The 22,105-nt window shown below is 41.3% G+C and overlaps 1 long non-coding RNA gene and 1 pseudogene across 1 annotated transcript in view, besides 1 other annotated feature; one reads left to right on the top strand and one right to left on the bottom strand.

The window, feature by feature from the left end:
• Positions 1-4,828: 4,828 nt before the first annotated feature.
• LOC101927263 (uncharacterized) overlaps positions 4,829-22,105 on the bottom strand; it is a 43,664-nt gene continuing 26,387 nt past the window's right edge. Inside the window, exon 5 of the long non-coding RNA XR_007064788.1 lies at positions 4,829-5,538. This is a non-coding gene — a long non-coding RNA (uncharacterized LOC101927263). The remainder of the gene's footprint in view (positions 5,539-22,105) is intronic.
• Positions 7,055-8,254: an enhancer, noted in NCBI's record as "MED14-independent group 3 enhancer chr15:96934820-96936019 (GRCh37/hg19 assembly coordinates)". NCBI's record gives its function as "activates an origin of replication core promoter dependent on BRD2, BRD4, P300/CBP and CDK7 cofactors, and independent of MED14, by STARR-seq in HCT116 cells {active_cell/tissue: HCT116}" and the evidence as "EXISTENCE:reporter gene assay evidence [ECO:0000049][PMID:35650434]".
• On the top strand, positions 10,793-11,632 carry TUBAP12 (tubulin alpha pseudogene 12; annotated as a pseudogene).

Raw genomic sequence — 22,105 nt, 5'->3', positions numbered from 1 at the left:
TTTTCCCAACAGTAATTAGGCTTGGTAATAGCACCCAGACAGTAGGTTCTGAGAATTACCTGAAATATTCCATGCACATCTTAGGGCAACACTTGGTACAAATAAGTGCTCAGTAAATGTTAGCCATTTTTATATCATAAGACATAAACCAGCATTTTTTCTCCCAAAACAGCCAGTGTGTTCTTTAGAGATAAATTCGTGTGATGGTGCATTCAGGAGCACCCATGACAGAACAACTAGACACACCGAGGAATCTGGTGAGAAACAAATGTGTAGCAGTTAAAATAAAGGAAAATTAAAACTAGGAAGAAAATGTCCTTAAGTGAAATCGCTTCCTCCTCGGAGGTTTTGGTCCATGGTATAAATTTCGCACTCCACTCTCGACCCTGGTTCCCATTAGTGACTTGCTGGCTCAGGATCCCCTAGGATCAGTCCTGGACTGTGAGCTGCCCTGTCTCTGGTGGTCTGCCAAAGCCTGACCCCAGACACCCAGGCTAGCCTGGCACCCCCCCACGGTGAACAGCCTCCTCACCCCAGTGGCCTGGCTGACGCTCATGTTTTTCTTTTTTCAGGCAACTCTGCAGGCAGGTGGGAGAAAGGACATAAAGCCATCCACGTGATTTTAAAACAATTTATTTGAGCAGTTCTTATGCAATGACATAATGATAGATGCTAACAATGAAAAATAAATGCACCATGGCTGTATCATCTTTGTATTGGGTTCATTTTGGAAATTAACAAGTAAACAAAAGAAACAATTTTTCTCCTGAGCATCCCTGATGAATAATCTATGGTTCCTTACAATCCATCGGAAATGGAAACATTTGAGTTTGTCCACCAGCTGAATTGCCTTCATGATATCAAATAACTAGTTTTCCTGTTTTAACTGCACAGGCAGGGCTTAGGTGTCAGCAGGTCAGAGCATATGGAACTTTTTTTTTAACTAAGATAAACAGTGAAACCCAATAACTTATGCAGGGCAAGTGGCTCCAAAACAGACACTCACTAGTATGAGTTATATCTGCATTAATAAAGTGTGGCACCAAGGGCATATTTGGATCAAAATATTTTGAATAAGTGAAAGACTAAAAGATGACAGCAGAGCTCCGAATTCTGCCTAGGAATTACAAAGTAGGCTTGAGAAGTTGAACTGTAGGAGACAGGGGTCTGCAGGAGTCCCCCAAAGACATGACTACAGCCAGGTTTTAGGATTGTTCAGATCATTAGTCCCGTGGGAAGAAGAATGGAAAGAGGGCAGGGGATCCGAATGAGCAGAGTCTTTCTTCTTTAGCCTCCTTACCCCACTCAGGTGTCTGTCATAATTCCTGGCACAATTCAATAAAGAGTTGTGACACAAAGGAAAGGAAGAACAAAGGAAACAAGAAAATAATCAATCCCTTGGACAGGCCTCTCACCCTAAATTTGCTTTGAGTGTAATACAGCCCAGAAAAATTTCTCTTCGTCTCTAGAACCTTCTGTGCCTTAAGGTTCAGGCTTCTGAGTCTGGGTAATGACTAACGACACAGTCCCCAGAATCAGACTAACTCGACGTGGGGTCTGGGGTTCACCTTTCTCTAACTCTGTGACTGAACAGTTCTTCCCTAAGGCTCAGTTTCCTTGTTGTGAAATAGAAATAAGAAATGTGAAATAGGAACATTTTGCCTCCAGATTCTGTAAGGATTATATACAATAATAATGCTTAGCACAGTCTAATGCATAGTGAGTGCTCAGTCTAGGTCATTATTACATTATTGTTGTCATCATTGCTATTCCAAATTGACGACCCCTGTTATGGAATGTTTTTCTATCTGAAACTGGAACTAGGAAAGGGATTAGAGGCAAGGTTCAGACATGGACACTGGGGCTGGGTATTCTGGCATCCTTAGATGCCCTCCGCTGTGCTGGATCAGCCACTTAATTCAGTTTTGAGAACTTTCTCTGCAAAAGACGCCAAAAGGGGTTCTGGGGAATATGTAGGGATACAGAGGAATATGGTGGTGTCCAGGCCTGATAAGCGCATTACCTGCCCAGGGTGATTCCACAAGCATTGCTGTCCAGTTCAAGTTGCTGTTATGTAAAGTTCACTTCAAAATAAAAGATGTGCCTCTTTGAATCTGAATTAACACATATCATCCTGACCCTGAGACCAGCCTGACCAACATGGTGAAAACCCATCTCTACTAAATACAAAAAATTAGCCAGGCATGGTGGCACATGCCTGTAATTCCAGCTACTTGGGAGGCTGAGGCAGGAGAATCACTTGAACCTGGGAGGTGGAGGTTGCAGTGAGCTGAGATTGTGCCATTGCATTCCAGCCTGGGCAACAAGAGTGAAATTCTACAAAAAAAAAAAAAAAAAAAGTGCTAAAGTCAGAAACTGGATGATGGCTTGAGGAGCCTACACTGACTCCCTCAACTAAGCCCCAGAATATATCCCTACTTTTGCAAAAGAAAATCTGTATGCTTGATAGTCCTTCTAACCATTTCACTTTGTTAGTCCAAACAGAAAAAGACATTGAAGGCTCAACTAAGAGAGATAAGCAGATAGTTGATTAGACTTCAAATTGAACTGATTCAGCAAGATTTAAAATGATTTGGGAAAAGGGGATGGATCCAGACCACACTCTTTTTAGAAGCAAGTCAGGCCTCCATCAGACAGAGCTATGCCCAGCTCTGAGGAGGCCTTTTCCAGCAAATTTTCTTCCCCACTTGAAGCCAAATGTCCCTTGGTCTGCTGTCAGTCCTGGAGACGTGGCGAAGGAAGAGTGGAGGGGGATTGGGCGTTTATCTCTCCATGCAATCAGAGCCATGCAATTATCTTTCTGCATTAATAGAAGGATGGGCAAAGAGAACATGACCCCAACCTTTAATTTCCTCTCATTGTCAACAGAGTGACCCTTCCCCTGGGTGGGAAATCTCAAATTGCTTAATTTTTATGACTTTTATGGCTTTGGCTACCAAATGAGAAAGCGAGAGAGAGATCGAGAGAAAGTTTAAAAGTATTAAGGCTGGGCGCAGTGGCTCACGCCTATAATCCCAGCACTTTGGGAGACCAAAATGGGTGGACAGCTTGAGGACAGGAGTATGAGGCCAGCCTGGGCAACCCCTACCTGCAAAAATAAAAAATAAAAATTAGCTGGGTGTGGTGGTGCATGCCTGTAGTCCAGGCTACTTGGGAGGATCACTTGAGCCCAGGAGTTTAAGGCTGCGGTGAGCTGTGATTGTGTCACTGTACTCCAGCCTGGGTGACAGAGTAAGACCCTGTCTCTAGAAACAGTTATTTTAATTAAAATTAAATTTAAAGTATCAAGTACCTGAAAAAGTGTTTTCTATGTTATCCCTGTTGTATGTCCCTAATGCTGAGAGGAGAGCCCTTGAAAACAAATCTCCCTGCACCTGGTCAGCCTCTTTGCCAATTCACAACCCCAGTAGCCTCCAGTGCACTCAGCTCATCCCACTGGAATGCCCATGTCACATGTTCACGTCCTCATTTAGGGAGAGGGGACAGGGATGCAGACATTTAGTAGATTCTCAAATTTCTAACTTTCTCCTCTTTGGAGTTCTGTAGCTATGTCAGATAATTTTATTATAATGATTCCAATTGTACCTAATCTTCGCTAGATTTAGGAAAAAGAACACCCTCTCTCCCCCAACTAGGTTTCTGAGTTCTGGCATTAGTTTTGTTTTCAAAGTAATGACCAGCACTCCAAGCCTGGATAGCCTTGCTGGAGAACTTTCCACCTGGAGCCCTGCCCATCGGCCCTGCGGGACTTCCTTCAGCTCCTCTGTGGTGAGCACCTTCTGGTTTGGGGATGATTTCTTTAACTTCCCCTAATAATTCCTTCCCCTGGCCACTTCCATCCATCTTTCACACACTGTCTTTAGCATCATTTCCCACAGGAAACCCTCACAGCCGCACGTGCTCCTTGCCCATGCATCTATGGCTCCCCCTGGATGACTCCTAACACACATGCTTTTGGCTGCCTGGTTCTGCTCTGCAAGTCCAGGGATCATATCTATCTTTTCACTGTACCCTGGTGCCTAGCACAATATTTACACTTGGGAGGGGCTCAATAACCTTTGATGACAGTGAAAAAAAGAAGGAAGAGAGGGAGGGAAGGAGGAAGGCAGGAAAAGAGGAAGGAAGGGAAGGAAGAAGGTAGAGAAGAAGGGCAGAAAAAGAGATCAGAGTGGGGCGCAGTGGTGGCTCAAGCCTGTAATCCCAGCACTTTGGGAGGCCGAGGCAGGTGGATTACCTGAGATCAGGAGTTTGAGACCAGCCCAGACATCACGGCCAAACCCTATCTTTACTAAAAATAAAAATGAAAGTAAATAAATAAATAAATAGCCGGGCATGGTGGCACGCACCTGTAGTCCCAGCTACTTGGGAGGCTGAGGCAAGAGAATCGCTTGAACCCGGGAGGCAGAGGTTGCGGTGAGCCAGGATCACTGCCCTCCAGCTTGGGTGACAGAGCGAGACTGTGTCTCAAAAAAAAACCAAAAAAAACAAAAAATAAATAAGAAAAAGAAAAAGATCACTGCAGAGCCATTCCCAATTTGTCATACCCTAAATATACTATCTCTCACTCTTCCCCTTTTTTGTCTCTCCTCATTCTTCTTCTCATAGAAACTCAAAAATTAAAATAAAATTAAAACCAATCTGTCCGTGTGTACCCCAATTTGGTCTGTATTGTGGGGTTTTTGTTTGTTTTTGTCATTCTACACCCTGCCTCCACAAATTCAAGTATATTTCAAAGCCAATGTACTGGACGAGCACGAAGCAGCAGGTCCCTCTCACACACATCCCAATAAATAAATGACAAGATCTGTTGTATTGAAATATGATTTTTTAATTTAGGGCTTGAAAATCTTACGAAAGTTGTTTTAAGTCATCGAATAATTCTATCTGGACAGTGACATTGCAAAACTAATAAAATGAAAACACTAGAAATATTATTTGGAGGTGCAGGGAGATGAGGCACATTTTGGGGCAAAGGTAGAGAAAATGTAGTATTTGGATAGTTAGATGTTTTACTTAGATTTTTGTTTCATTAGCAACTAATGGTTGAGGTGTCTATTTATTTAATGAAGTAGTGGTGTATTTCATTTAATACAAAGAAAGCTTCTCCCCCTCCCCAAGCAATGTAGAAATTGGAACAAAGATACACCAAAGCCCTGTTAGGACATTTTCCACAGGATTAAAAACAAATCCCAAACTGTACAATGCTGTAAGAGAGAGACATTACACTATGTAAGTGTGACTAGATAAAAGTATTTCAAGGAAACTTTCCGTTGCTTTGGAAGAATTTCCCTCTTTTGTGCAGAGAAATCAAGAGAATTTAAAAAAAAGAGGGAATATAATACAATAGCATTATAGAAGAGAATAACACACGTTCACTTGGATTGGTGTCTTCGTCTTTCACTTCTTCACCTTAAGAAATGTAGTGCAGGAGTGGCTGAATTCCAGGACGGGGCAAGAAATAAAGTGCAGTGTAGATTTGTTCACGACAGGAGATTTCAAAAGTCAGAATTACTAAGCCTGGGCGGAAAAATAAGAGAGATTTACTTAGGCATTAAAGATATGTACTAGGCAGTAAAACCGATAGATCCTTATTACATTGTCCCATAAGAGACTGGGCCACTCAGAGAAGTTAATGCTAAGGAAATTTAAAGCAAGTTATAGGAAATACTTTTTCACTTGGTAGAATTCATGCTGAGGAATTTGCTGCCACCGGCAGCCACAAAATCAATCACTGAGTTGGGTTTTTCAAAGGCCCAGGATAATGCAAGACCTACTCTTCTGGTTAGTTGGGGAGGACAGAAGCAATCAATTCGCCTGCTTCTAGGAGATCACAGTTGATTACAAGTGGGGTCAGCAAAAGGATGTCCCCCACACTTGATCAGGATAATTAAAAAGTGTTTGCCCGTGCTCACAGGTCCTAGAAGAAGACTGGAAATAGGATAGGATCAAACGGCCTGATCCAACTTGACAGCTTTTTGACCAGAACAGAGAATTAAGCAACAAACACACACAAATCAATTCCAGCAACAAATTAAAGATGTTCCTCAAATATTTTTTCATAGAAACAATTTTGCTCCTGGTAATAGAAATATTACACAGCGTTTTTGTTTTTAATCTCACTCTCCAACGAGTATTTTCAAAGTGCATCTGCCAAACTTGAAAACAGCTAGCATGCGTAACTTTCTTTTCCCCAAAAGAGAGTAGAGTGTAGTTGAAAAGTTGTGACTAAACTACAAATATTGGCAAGGTGATGTTAATTTTGATGTTATGTTGAATGTCAGTAGGACAGTCCTTTGATAAAGTCATCGCAGTTTGAATTCAGCTTTTTTGTTGTTGTTTTTTAGCTATTATCTTCCCCATCTCTTTAACTTTTTTTTCTTTTATGAAACTAGGATAAGGCCGCCAGGACTTCACTTTGTGCTACTGCAAGTGCATCAAAACCAATATTGTGTCTTTGGCATTCGAATCCATGAACTTCTGGAAGAGAAACCAAAAAGCCATGTCAGGTATGGCTGGAGCCTGCATTTTCATTTGGGAGCAGAAGCATGTCACATAGTCTTCTAAAAAGAGAAATTTTGCTTTAAAAATGACACAACAAAATAAAATGCTGACTGAGTCATGGTAAAAAGCAGTCTTTGAATTTGAATAAAGTGTAGCAGTGCTGCAAAGGCAAAGAAAATGTTTCGTTTTCATTTCTTGAGAATCAGGACGCGTTACAGACTTTAATGGACAATGACCTGTCTGATTTCATTACCTATGTTAAAGAGAAAGCAAAAGTAAAGATAAGGGGAGTCTGAAATCTCTTCCATGGTAAACCACCATAATTTGCAATAGCTGTTATAATTTGTAGCTTAGAGACATGCTTATTTTGATAAGCATGTTTTAGTGAAACATTGTCCTGACTACTTCACCATGGCTTTCCACCACCCTCCCCACCCCACAAAAAAGAGATGAAAGAGTTGCTCTCTTCATGCAAATGTCAGGGGAGTGCTCTCTAGTTGCCATGGCACTGCGCTGGAAGCTCTGCGGGGCATTCCTGAATCTGCTCACAGGACACCTAACCGCTACAGCCTTTTTTGTCGAGGGGGACTCTCTGGAGCCACACCACCTGGGATCCAGTCCTGGCTCTGCCTCTCATCGGCTGGGTTTCCCTGTGGAAGTCATTTACCTCCCCTTGTCTCAATATCCTCACCTGTAAAATGGGCAGAACAATATTGCCTACATCATAGGATTGTTAGAAGTTTAAATCACTATAAAATAACTAGAACTGTGCCTGACACGTTGTGAAGTGCTGAGTCATTGTTGCTTTCATTTAGTCCCCAGAAAGCCCAGTGCTAAAGGAACTTATCTTTCCACTGGGAGACAGAGGAACTGTGGGGTCACTTGCACTTTCATGGACTTGGGGGTAGGCGTGGGAGAAGTTTTCACTGTTCTACTCTCTCCCTATTTTGGCCCTAACTTCTTATGTCCCTCTCCTGCCAGGTTTCTCCTAGAATTCTGCACGCCATAAACCAGCCAAGTTCACTCCATCCTCACAGCCCTTGCATCTTCTCTTTGGGCCTGGAATAGTTGCCTCTTCCCTCCTCCCAGCAAACTCTGACTTGCTAATCCACAGTCATTGGTCAGCCCTCTGCTTAGATGTCACCATCTCTGAGAAGAGTTCCCACAGTCTGAGTTCAGTGCTCCTCATGCGTGTGCTCCCATTCTCTCTATACTTCCATCACCATCCTTCATTGCCTGTTTACTTTTCTGTATCCACCATGAGAGAGCAAGCTCACTTGGCAGGGATTAGGTCTTGCTCTTCCGCTGAGTTTCATTTCTGACAGGCTGTTCAATGGTCCTGAATGAATGCAAGAATCAACCAAGTTCAACAGGAAAGGCTGCACCTTCCCAGAACATGCTATTTTCATTTGCCTTTACTCTACAAAACCGCCAGGGTCTATCCAAATGAAATTGATGTTTTGACCACTACTGTATTCAAAGCCAACATTACAGAAGAACCAATGTTGGAGGTATATGGAAATAATTGGTTCATCTCTAATAAAACTAACACTGGGAAAAATTCATAATGCACTAAAACTGAGGAAAGTTCAAAACAAAGTAAAATAGGAGAAATGCTTTCATTGGAGCTTACTTAGTCTAAGAAGAAAGACTCAGATGGGTGTTTTTGTTTCACTGTTTTTAACATGGCTATATACTTAATTATTGAATCAAATTGTAGAGTTTACATTTCTCTCTTAGAATATACCAAATACTCTTACTCTTACAATCTTTGGAACATATACAACATATACTTGGCTTTGTGATGGACAATCAGAATGGGAAGAAAAGCTATCAGAAGGCAAGCTTAGCAAGGTAAACAACCGATTGGGGCAATTCACCCTTGCCTCCTACCCATGCTTGAAAGATATGGTTGATAGAGGCAGAAGCTTGGCACAGCACAGACGAATGATTCAGTTCTTCATTTCTCTTTGTGAATGCAGGTTGAATCTGGATTTGGACATATACAACAACAATAACATAACTGATATATTCAAGCAGGAGAGATATATGAGGCCCTGCCAAGTGCCATTCATGCGTTACTTCATTTAATCATCACAAGAATCCTATGAGGCAAAAAATGATTTAACAACATATAGATGAGTAATTTGAGGCTATGTGATTAAGAAATCTGCCTGAGGTCACACAACCAGCAATCAGCAGAACCAGGCTTCAAACCTGGATTCCAGAGTTTTTCCCACTCACTTCTAGCCAACACTGCCACCCTCACCCAAACTCAGGCACCTTGAGAAAAACCTGAGGTCTAGAATCTGAAGACTCACATTAATTATTGCTCATATCAGCTTGAGTAGTTCACCTCATCTCTCTAGATCTCTATTTCATCACCTATGATATGAGAATAATAATATAATCTGCCCTACCTGCCTTCCAAAGCTTCCGTGATAATAAGTGAGACGGTTTACATGCCAGAAGTTAGGAAACAGGAACGTGTGATACAAATATCGGTTGATAAATTTTATTTAAAAGCATAGTCTGGGCCAGGCACAGTGGTTCATACCTGTAATCCCAGCCCTTGGGGAGGCTGAGGAGAACAGACCGCTTGAGCCCAGGACTTTGAGGCCAGACTGGACAACATGGCAAAACCCTGTCTCTACTAAAAATACAAAAGATTCACTAGGCATGGTGGCACATGCGTGTAGTCCCAGCTACTTGGGAAGCCGAGGTAGGAGGAGCAATGGAAGTCAAAAATGCAGTGAGCCATGATCGCGCCACTGCACTCCAACCTGGGTGACAGAAGAGAGACCCTGTCTCACAAAAAAAAAAAAAAAAAAGCATAGTCTGTTGGGTTTGTATGAATTTACCTGGTCTGTAGGGAGTATTTTACTTGTGACAGTTGAAAATCTGTTCCACCCAAGCCAAATATGATCAATAGATGATAGTGATGGACTTTGCCCACACAGATTAATGGATGTGATTTGAAGGAGGAAGTGGCTGTCCCATAACCATACACTCCAGGCTTGAGGAAACAGTAATTGCCACCTGTAGAAAAACAGGACACAAAGACAACATGCCCATGCTAAACATAGTTGTGCTTGGAATCAACACTGCTTGCAGATTAAGCAAAGGTGAATCACAGGGATTTCCCGGGAGTTAAAAAATAATCTTATCTAAAGAACAGACCAGCATCTTTACATCCATATATTAACAAATATCCAAATATTTATTTATCTGGAGAACGCTGATCACTGACAAGGTTTTAAAATTTTGTTTTATAGCCTACATAACTTCTCTCCACCAATATATTTTTCTGTAAAAATTGCCGCAGAAGATGTTATCTAATCCTACTACATGTGCAAAGCTCTGGGGAAATGTAGTGTTAAAGAGAACGTAACTTGAAAACATTTCGTCTATTAGATTTTTCCACCTGTCCTTAGCATCATAACCCTCTTTGCTTTCAGTTAAGCAAAGCCAAGTCACCCTTGACTATAATCATTTATGTTCCCTCCTGCATTTGTTGAGTACTGAAGCATGTAGTTGAGTACTAGAACAGATATCTGTAATTTTTCTCTGTCCAGCATACATTCCCTGTTTATATAGCACTTTGATTTTCCTTTAGGGTACCATTCCCTTTCTCCTTTTTTGGTCCTTCCTTAAGGTTTAAGTAGTGCTAACTCCATCCATTGTTTCCAGCAGTTGGCAGGTGACCTAAGCCCAGCCAATCAGAATGATGGTGATTTTTTTCAAGCCTGGATATGTTATCCAGTCAAGACCTATGGATATCAACTCTGAAATGTTTAATGCAACTATTGAGAAAGAGGCTAAACTAGTAAGATATAATTTGAAATGTTAGTAGCCATCTGCGCTGACATTTCAAGAGAATCTACTAGAGAATGAAGCCAACACAAAGAAAAGCAGAGCCAAGAGATAAAAAAATAGTTTCCTATTGTATTTGCATACTTAGCTCTTTCCCTGATCTTTTCCATTATATATGCTAATGCATTCTTTTTTAAATTAGGCCAGTCTCTAGTGAGGTTCTATTACTTGCAACTGAAGGCAATCTCACTAATCTAAAATAATTTATCAGTTGTGCAAAATTCACAGTTGTTACATCTGTAGTCTGTCAGGACCCCGATAGCTTCTAAGGAATAGGGAGTAGAAATAGAAAGAAAATATGTAGAGCTGGATTTTCTCCTTTTGTTTCACTTCCTTCTCTGTTCCTGATCATCTCATTATGTTGAGTATTTTATACACAGAGCACATGTAATATAACAACTTCTTTCTGTTGATTATGGCAAGAAGTCCAAGCTGGAGCTCTCCATTTACCCAATCCCACCACACCCCAGGTTTCCACAGCTGTAGCTGAGCCCTACAACTTCATCCTCACCACTCACACCACCCTAGAGCACTCTGATTGTGCTTCATGGTAGACAATGAGGCCATCTATGACATCATCTGCCATAGAAATCTCAATATTGAGCACCCAACCTACACTAACCTTAACTGCTTTATTAGCCAGATTGTGCCTTCCATCACTGCTTCCTTCAGATTTGATGGAGCCCTGAATATTGATCTGACGGAACCTCAGACCAATCTGGTACCCTATCCCCACATTCACTTCCCTCTGCTCACATAGGCCCCTAATATCTCTGCTGAGAAAGCCTACCATGAAAGCTTACTACAGCAAAGATCACCAATGCTTGTTTTGAGCCAGTCAATCTGATGGTAAAATCTGAGTCTTACCATGGTAAATACATGGCTTGCTGCCTGTTGTACCATGATGTTGTACCATGAAGTACATGGTAAATACATGTACTTGCTGCCTGATGTACCAGATGTTCCCAAATATGTCAATGCTGGCATTGTCACCCTCAGGACCAACCACAGCATCCACTTTGTGGATTGGTGTCCCACTGGCTTCAAGGTTGGCATCAATTATCAGCCTCCCAATGTGGTACCCGGTGGAGACCTGGCCAAGGTACAGAGAGCTGTGTGTATGCTGAGCAACACCATTGCCATTGCTGAGGCCTGGGCTCACCTGGACCACAAGTTTGACCTCACATATGCCAAGTATGCATTTTTTCACTGGTACATGGGTGAAGGGATGGATGAAAGAGTACCTCAAAGTAAAGGCTTTAAGATTTTAAAAAAGGGGAAGAATCTAGAAAAAGCATTCTAGATTAAGAGCCAAATTATGCTCCTTACCCTGCTACTAAAGAGCTGTTGGTGCTTGAAAAAAGTCATCCAACTATTTCTGTTCACACCAAGAAGAAACCTACAATCGAGGAAAAGGGAAGGAAATGATTGGCTTGTGCTCTAGCATTGGTCTTACAGATCAAAGCTCTGGATTTATTTTTTTTATAGTACCAACTTCTATTTTAGATTCAGGGGGTACATGTGCAGGTTTGTTACATGGGTATATTGCATAATGCTGTGGTTTGGGGTATGAATGATCCCATTACCTAGATACTGAGCATAGTACCCAACAGTTAGTTTTTCAACCCCTGTCCCCTTCTCTCCATCCCGCTTCTAGTAGTACCCAGTGTCTGATGTTGCCATCTTTATGTCCATGAGCACCCAATGTTTAGCTCTCACTTATAAGTGAGAATAATCAGTGTTTGGTTTTCTGTTCTGGCATTAATTCACTTAGGATAAATGCCTCCAGCTGCATCCATGGTGCTGCAAAGGACATGATTTCATTGTTTTCCATGGTTGTGCAAAGCTTTGGATTCTAATCCTAATGTCACCATTGGCTGGTTTTGTGAGCTTGAGCACATTGTGTCATTGTCGTGGGTATCTATAAAATTAAGTCAGTGACAGTGAGCCTGCTTATCTCAGATAAATTATGGTGAAGCAAGAGAGAAAAGACATTTGAAAATGCTTTGAGAAGTTTAAGGTTCTGAGTACATGCACGATATTGTTACTAGTAATAGTAACAGTAAATGTCAAAGTTTCACATTTGTCTGAATAAGAGAGAGAAAATTTCCCTCATCATGGCATTAGAGGATATGGCCTGGAAAGCACAGTGAGGTCATTCTTCTTCTACTTTTTTTATTTTTATTTTTATTTATTTATTTTTTTAGACAGGATCTCTCTCTGTCACCCAGGAGGTAGTGCAGTGGCACAATCACAACTCACTGCAGCCTCAACCTCTGAGGCTTAAGTGATCCTCCCACCTCCTCCTCCAGTTCTTAAAAATGGAGAAAAACTAACCCTATTCATTTACTTAACAACGTTTTTTGATGCCAAGGACTTTCTACTTTAATAAGGTATAATTTATATTTTTTATATTTAATTTTTGTCTTTTTAAAACTGCCTTTATGTTCTGCCTGAAAGAACTTTACCTACCCTATGTTCTTAAAGATAGTCTCTTTTTTACTTCTAGAAATGTACAATTTTTGCTTTTACTTTAGATCTACAGTCAGTTTGAAATTATTGTTTCTTTATGTGAAATATAGGTCCCACAATTTTTACTTGGCTAGTCAGTTGCTCCAGACCATATACGGCACACACACACAAAATTCATTGAACCACCTTGTGTACTTGGTGAAAATTAACTGACCAGGCTGGGCTCAGTAGCTCACACCTCTAATCCCAGCACTCTGGGAGGCCAAGGCAGGCAGATTACGAGGTCAGGAGATTGAGACCATCCTGGCCAGCATGATGAAACCCTGTCTCTACTAAAAATAACAAAAATTAGCCAGACGTGGTGGCAGGCACCTGTAGTCCCAGCTACTCTGGAGGCGGAGGCAAGAGAATCGCTTGAACCCGGGAGGCGGAAGTTGCAGTGAGCCAAGAGTGCACCACTGCACTCCAGCCTGGGTGACACAGGGAGGCTCCGTCCCCCACCAAAAAAAAGGAAAAAAAAGAAAAAGAAGATTAACTGACCATGTATTCGTGGATCTATTTCAGAACTCTATTTGTTGCATTAGTCTACTTGTCTAATCCTGCAGCATGCAACACTGCTTAATTATTTTATTTTATTTTATTTTTGAGACAGGGTATCACTCTGTCACTCAGGCTGGAGTGCAGTGGCATAATCACTCAGGTTCACTGCAGCCTCAAACTCCTTGGCTTGAGTGATCCTCCTGCCTCAGCTTCCTGAGTAGCTGGGACTAGAGGCATTCACTACCATGCCTGGCTAATATTTTTTATTTTTTGTAGAGATGGGGTCTCACTATGTTGCCCAGGCTGGTCTCCACCTCCTGGATTCAAGAGATCCTCCCACTTCAGCCTCCCAAAGTGCTGGGATTACAGGCATGAGCCACTGCACCCAGCCAAGGTCATCTTTTCTATTCGTGTTTAATGATTTATCTATAGCTCTGCAACATGTCTGTGCCATCAGCTCCTACATAGAAAAGAGTAACTACTATACAACGACAAGAAAAAAAATGACCTGTTACCAAAAGAACTGGGTTCTAGTGCTAGCTCTGCCACTAGCTTCCTTTGTGACCTAGTGTACCAGCTTTCTCTAGCCCTCAGTTTTCTTTATCTACATAATAAAAGGATTAAATTATGTAATGTGGTGGCCATCAAGAATGCTCACCAATGTCTGGCTCTCCTCTTCCTTCCAAGCACACAGAAGACTATACTTTTCATACCCCATTCTAGTTATGCTCAGCCGGGTGACTAGTTCTGGCCAAGAGGATATAAGCAGAAGAAACATGTGTTATTTCTGGATATTTCATTGCCCATGAGAGATATTCCAGTGCTCTCTTCCCCTGCTGTGGCCACAAAGTATACCACTAATTTGATTTGGTCCAGTTATTGATAGCATTGCCTCTATCATCTTGGGCCCTTTAGTGGGTATGTGAAATAGAATCACCATGTCAACATGCAATTGATATGTAATGTGACTGAGAAATGAGCCTGAGAAATTGTTTTGTTAAACTATAAATATTTTAGTGCTAAGTTGTTACAGCAGCATAATCTGGCTTATCCTAACTAATACAGGTAATTTCTATATTTTCTCTCAATTTTCATATACTGCAATGCTATATATATATGTTTTCTACACTTAAAGAATGAATTTCGAGCAAAAAGAAGCTGCAAATCTCACAGATCTGCTAAGATATTTTTTAAATAAGTTACATGAGAGATGAGTGTAAGGAGAGGCACCATGGAGTTTGTCTACCACTGTGAGAATAGGAGGACATTCTACAAGATCTTGTTAAATATGTCTTCTAATTCTTCCCATCAGGACTTTAAAAAATAAATTAAAAGATGTACTCTATATTACTAAGTATCAGAAAATAGATGTCAAATGTGAAAGACACATGTGCTAATACAAAAATGTGCAGAATGTAAATGTAGGTTTAATATAGACATAGTATTTAATGCATTAGTCATATTTATTTGCAGATGTCATCCAAAGGACTTAAATAATAAGCACACTTTAATAAATCTAGCAAATAACATCATATTCCTAACTGTGCTCATCCTATCTTTCTTTACCCTCTTTACCAAGGAGTATGTTCAAACTGGCTGACGTAAAATAAATTTCACGTATTCATGCTTTTTGAGGTATTTTGTTTATTTGTTTGTTGTTTGTCTGTGTGTTTGTTTTTGCCAAAAGATGAGAAGACCCATTCAAGGAAATGCCAAATAGATGAGAATAAGAATAATGATGTGTTTGTGGCCAAAGAGCAAGCCAAACGAAAAGGATAATTTGTCCACTTTATCCAAAGACTTACTTGATTTTATTGAGCCCAAATAAGCCCTAGACCTCTACTCAAATATAAATGGATTCATCTGAAACAAGCTCATTTGCTTGGCAACTTCCAAAGTGCCTCTGCTACGGAAGTATGTGACATGAGTAAGAAAAAAGAAGAAAAGAAAGGAACCAAAATGGTTCCAGTCCCTCTTGTTTTCTTAGCTCCTACCTCACCATGAGTGAGAGATGGACAGAGGAGAAAGGAAGGGAAAAAAATGAACAAAACTGGCTAAGGCAGGAGGATCGCTGGAGCCCCGAAGCTCAAGACCAGCCTGGGCAGCCCAGGGTGACCTCATCTCTACAAATAATTTTTAAAAAATTAGTTGGGTTTCATGGCACATGCCTATGGCTCCAGCTACTTAGGAGGTTGAGGCAGGAGGACTGCTTGAGCCTAGGAGGTCAAGGCTATAACGAGCCATAATCACACCACTGCCCTCAGGCCTGGGTGACAGAGTGAAACCCCGAAAAAAAAAGGAAGGAAGAAAGAAAGAAAGAGAGAGAGAGGAAGGAAGGAAGGAGGGAAGGAGGGAACGAAGGAAGGAAGGAAGGAAGGAAGGGGAGGGTGAAAGTAGAGGAAGAAATTGGCAAAGTGAGAAGGGTTAGTAAGATAAACAGAAAGAAGGGAAATGCAGAGAGGCTCACAGTTTCAATTATGGTCAAGTTAAGGTGAAGCAGCCAACTAATGAACAAGAAAACATTTCTTGACTCTTTTACTAAATGGCCCTGAAATGTTTTAGTTGAGCTAGTTCTGCAATGGCCCCTATACCTCACCTCTCAGAAGTGTAGGTTAGAGACGTGCAGGAACCACCATTAAGGTCACTTTGGTGCAAGAGGAGCCTCCAAATGGTCTCTTAAGAGAGACCAACCAACGGGCAGAAACACTGTGGGATGGAAGGCCATGTGGAGTGTGAGGACGCAGCACAGAGACTGCTACTGTGTCCATGTTGCCTTTATCCCATCTCACCAAGCTCCTCCTAGAGCAGCTGAGAAGGCCAACAATACTCCAATCATTCCTCCTGACTCTAGATTTTCAGACAATTCCGCCGTACTGATGTTTAGGTAAAAGGAGGGAGGTGCACATAAGCAGGAAAGTGTTCTAACAATGTAGGAGACTTGAAAACCTCCGAGCCCAGCCTAACCAACATGGTGAAACCCTGACTCTACTAAAAATACAAAATTAGCTGGGTGTGGTGGTGCATGCCTGTAATCCCAGCTACTTGGGAGGCTGAGGCAGGAGAATCGCTTCAACCTGGGAGGCAGAGGTTGCAGTGAGCCGAGAACACACCATTGCACTCCAGCCTAGGCGACAGAGTGAGACTCCATCTCAAAAAAAAAAAATAAGTAGCTAACTTTTTTTTTCAAGATAGGGTCTCAGTCTGTTACCCAGACTGGAGTGCAGTGGCAGGATCACAGTTCACTGCAGTCTTGACCTTCCAGGCTCAAGTAATTCTCCCACACCAGCCCCTGAGTAGCTGGGACTACAGGCATGTGCAACTACGCCTAGCTAGTTTTTTGTGTTTTTTATAGAGACAGGATTCTGCCATGTGTCTCAGGCTGCTCTCAAACTCCTGAACTCAAGCAATACTCCCACCCTGGCCTCCCAAAGTGCTGAGATTACAGTCGTGAGCCACCGGCGCCCAGACTTTTTTTCTTTTCTTTTTCTTTTTCTTTTTCTTTTCTTTTTTTTTGAGCTAACAATTTTTCAAGTACCTACTACATGCCAGGCAATAAGCTCAACCTTTTGCTTGCTTTGTGTAATTTAAAATCTCTACAACTAGCTAGTCATGGTGGGTGTGCCTCTAGTCCTAGTCACCCAGGAGACTGAGGCAGGGGGATCACTTGAGCCCAGGAAGTCTCAAGGCTGCAGTGAGTCATGATCGCACCACTGCACTCCAGCCTGGGTGGGACGGAGCAAGACCCTGTCTCAAAAAAACCCAAAAAACTCTAAATCATAGTGTTACTTGCTCAATTTATAGATGAAGAAAATAAGGTCAAAAGGATTCAGTGAGTTCTACAAATTCTCACAGTTTGTAATGGCAGTGGTAGGATTCTAACCCAGATCACCTGACCCCCAAACCAGCTTTGGCCACACTTCACACTGCACAGACTATGAGTAAGCTACATTTCCCCCAAATTGTTCCCAGTAACCATTGAATGCCTTGCATTATTTACACCCATCCTTATTATTCCTTATTAGTTCAGTGATCGGTCTCATTCTCACCAATGATTACTTTAAGTATGTCAGTATTAAAATAACTTCTCTCCTTTCACTAACCCTTCACCTTTCTTGGTCATCTATATCTAACTAACCCAACAACTGGGTTTTAACCTCTATAGCAGAGAGTCTTTCAGGGAGAAATTCAATAAATATATTTTTACGAAAGCTTGGCAGATACTTAACTGGGCTCACAAGTATTTCATAGTTGAATAAAGTGGTTCATTGACAAATAGTAGCAGTAATAAACATTTGTTGAATGATTGAATGATTGAATGTTTAATAATTAAAGAGATCCTCTCTCAGAAACACTCTTCTGTTAAGCTACTTTCAAAGAGGCTATACAAATGAGAAAGGTGTAGAAGGACATAAATAAAATTTTTTATTTATTCATTTTAATTTATGCCTTCCACAAATATTTATTCAGTGCCTTTTCTAGCCAATACCAGACACTGTACTAATTCCACTGATAGGGTTGTGTACTAGTTGTCTATTGCTATGTAAAAAATTAACTGAAAGTTTGGCACGTTAAAATAACAAACATTTATTTTCTCCCAGTTTCTGAGGGTCAGAAATCTGAGAGTGACGTAGCTGGGTGGTTTCAGTTCAGGGTCTCTTCAGAGGTTGCAGTCAAGCTGCTGGGTGGAGCAGAGGTCATCTCAAGAGTTGACTGTGGTAGAAGGACCTGGTTCCAAGCTCACTCTCACAGTTGGCAGGCCTCTGTTCCTTGCGGTAATTGGCAGAGACTTCAGTTTCTCACCATGTGGGCCTTTCTGTAAGGCTTCCCAGAGCCAACGATCCAAGACAGGAAGAAAGAGAAAGAGCATACACCCACGCCAGAGCCAGAATGGATTTTTTATTACCCAGCTTTTTATTACCCAGCCTCCAAAGTTGTACAATGTCACTTCTGGGACTTAGGCTCCACCTCTTGAAGTCGGGAGAATCAGGCAATTAGTGGATACAATTTTAAAACTACCAAGAAGAAGCCAGGCCCAGTGGCTCATGCCTGTAATCCCAGCACTTTGGGAGGCCTAGGCAGGAGGATTACTTGATGCCAACAGTGTGAGACCAACTCGGACAACGTAGTAAGACCTCGTCTCTTAAAAATTTAAAAATGGCTGGGCACAGTGGCTCACGACTGTAATCCCAGCACCTCGGGAGGCTGAGGCGGGTGGATCACCTGAGGTCAGGTGTTCAAGATCAGCCTGACCAACATGGAGAAACACCGTCTCTATTAAAAATACAAAATTAGCCGGGCATGGTGGGGCATGCCTGTAATCCTAGCTACTCAGGAGGCTGAGACAGAAGAATTGCTTGAACACAGGAGGCGGAGGTTGCAGTGAGCTGAGATCGCACCATTCCACTCCAGCCTGGGCAACAAGTGCGAAACTCCATCTCAGAAAAAAAAAAAAAAAAAAAAATTAAAAAATTAGTCGGGCACACCGCATTGCCAAGACAATCCTAAGCCAAAAGAACAAAGCTGGAGGCATGACACTACCTGACTTCAAACTATACAAGGCTACAGTAACCAAAACCGCATGGTACTGGTACCAAAACAGAAATATAGACCAATGAAACAGAACAGAGCCTCAGAAATAATACCATACATCTACAACCATCTGATCTTTGACAAACCTGACAAAAACAAGAAATGGGGAAAGGATTCCCTATTTAACAAATGGTGCTGGGAAAACTGGCTAGCCATATGGAGAAAGCTGAAACTGGATCCCTTCCTTACACCTTATACAAAAATTAATTCAAGATGGATTAAAGACTTAAATGTTAGACCTAAAACCATAAAAGCCCTAGAAGAAAACCTAGGCAATACCATTCAGGACATAGGCATGGGCAAGGACTTCATGACTAAAACACCAAAAGCAATGGCAACAAAAGCCAAAATTGACAAACGGGATCTAATTAAACTAAAGAGCTTCTGCACAGCAAAAGAAACTACCAACAGAGTGAACAGGCAACCTACAGAATGGGAGAAAATTTTTACAATCTATCCATCTGAGAAAGGGCTAATATCCAGAAACTACAAATAATTTAAACAAATTTACAAGAAAAAAATCAAACAACCCCATCAAAAAGTGGGTGAAGTATATGAACAGACACTTCTCAAAAGAAGACATTTATGCAGCCAACAGACACATGAAAAAATGCTCATCATCACTGGCCATCGCAAAAACGTAAATCAAAACCACAATGAGATACCATCTCACACTAGTTAGAATGGTGATCATTAAAAAGTCAGGAAACAACAGGTGCTGGAGAGGATGTGGAGAAATGGGAAAACTTTTACACTGTTGGTGGGACTGTAAACTAGTTCAGCCATTGTGGAAGACAGTGTGGCGATTCCTCAAGGATCTAGAACTAGAAATACCATTTGACCCAGCCATCCCATTACTGGGTATATACCCAAAGGATTATAAATCATGCTGCTATAAAGACACACGCACACATATGTTTATTGCAGCACTATTCACAATAGCAAAGACTTGGAACCAACCCAAATGTCCATCAATGATAGACTGGATTAAGAAAATGTGGCACATATACACCATGGAATACTATACAGCCATAAAAAAGGATGAGTTCATGTCCTTTGTAGGGACATGGGTGAAGCTGGAAACCATCATTCTGAGCAAACTATCTCAAAAACAGAAAACCAAACACTGCATGTTCTCACTCATAGGAATTGAACAATGAGAACACTTGGACACAAGATGGGGAACATCACACATGGGATAGCATTAGGAGATATACCTAATGTAAATGACGAGTTAATGGGTGCAGGACACCAACATGGCACCTGTATACATATGTAACAAACCTGCACATTGCGCACATGTACCCTATAACTTAAAGTATAATAAAAAAATTAAAAATGTAGTTGGGCACAGTGGCATATACCTGTAGTCCTAGCTACTTGGGAGGATCTCTTGAGCCAAGGACTTCCAGGTTGAAGTGAGCTATGATTGCACACTGCACTCCAGCCTGGGTGACACAGTGAGACTCTGTCTCCAAAAATTAATTATAAAAAAAAACTACGGAGGGGGAGTTCATTAGAAGGGGAAACTGTTAAATTTTATTCATATACTTTTAAATATCTTAACCAATTATAATTGTAACCTAATTTTCCATTAATAGACAGTATATAGCCATATACTCAGGATGAGAAAGGAGATAATTAGACATGGGTCAGGGGTGGGGTTGATCTTCCTCTCCTTTCTCACCCTCTCCACAGAAGACCAAGAAAGCTTCCATCTCTCATGGAGATCTTTGTTATCTTTTGATAAGAGATTCTATTTTCCATTCCTATGTCAAGGTATTGCATAGACACAAAATTCCAGCAAGGTTGCAAACCTCAGTAGTGCAGAGACAGTGGAGGAAACTCAAGACGATACAGAAAAGGCCATCAAAATGGTTATCAGGGAACCTAGAAACTGCCATATAAATGTATTTCCCAATGAATTTTAACATCCAAATTCATTTAACTTTTAATGGTCTGACTATATTTTGACCTGCTGAACTGTTTCTCAGATTCAAATTTTCGTCATTGTCCTTCACATCAAATAATGAATTCTGAAGCACAGTTTCCATCTGTCAGTTTAGAGAATGCAGCATCTCATCTCTGTATTGAAATCAAGTCCCTCTCACCTTTCAACAGCCAAAGAACCACTTCATCGTCAGCAACGTGGAAAGCCACAAATCAGTTAAACTTACCTCGCGTTTATGAGTACCCATGAATTGCACTTACAATGGTTGTACAAAAGGGTATGGTAGTGCCGGCTTCTCAACAAAGGCTCCCAAGTCAGGTAAGGGCACATCTGGGGTCAGTGATACTTTCCCTATTTGTCCCGTCTGTGACTCAGGCGGAGTTCTTCAGTTTTTTTCTCGGGCCCACTGCCACATCAACATTGCAATATTCCTTGTCACTGTATTTAAATCTAAGAAGAAAACCGCATGCAGGTTTTTGAAGAGCCACATGTGGCTAAGAAAGCCTCAGGTTGGAATGCGGCCCTGTAATCCCCTCACAGGGGTGGAGAGGAAACAGCTCCAGAGAGGGTTCCAAATACACACCAATGCCCCTTCGAGCTACGTTTTGCATTTCGTTTTCTGCTTTAAAATCTCTATTGGCTTCACCTCTGAGAAGGCTTAAGAACATAATTTATTCCATATAAGGTTCCCCGTAATTTATGCTCAGTAAATTGGCAGCATAGGAAGAATTTTTCATTGACTACCATGGAAGATTATTAAAGGCCATCTTGTGCAAGCAAAGACAGTTCAAGCAGCCATACGTCACACAAAAGGAAATTTCCTAGCATCCTGTGTTTTAAATGAAAATAATTTATATCTTTTGAATTTATAAATGTATAATTTTAGTTTTTACGCAATTGCCCATTCACACAAAATTCTTCTCTAGACAGTCCAACTCCAGGATACACTTCACCTTTTATAGTCCCTCTTCCTCAAAACCGGGTAAATCCAAGAAAACCTGAGGTCTATAATTCACTCTACTTCTGTATTTTTTTTTCAGTTTTAGATTTATGCCAAGATAATAGCTCACTGTCCTAAAATGCTGGCTTTCTTGACAGGTAAATATTAACTCTTTGTTCTCAGCTTTGTCTTTCTCAGCAAGTGACAGAATAGTACCA

This window comes from Homo sapiens, chromosome 15 (assembly GCF_000001405.40).
Source record: "Homo sapiens chromosome 15, GRCh38.p14 Primary Assembly".
Taxonomy (NCBI): Eukaryota; Metazoa; Chordata; class Mammalia; order Primates; family Hominidae; genus Homo; species Homo sapiens.
This window is presented reverse-complemented; position numbering and strand designations above follow the sequence as displayed.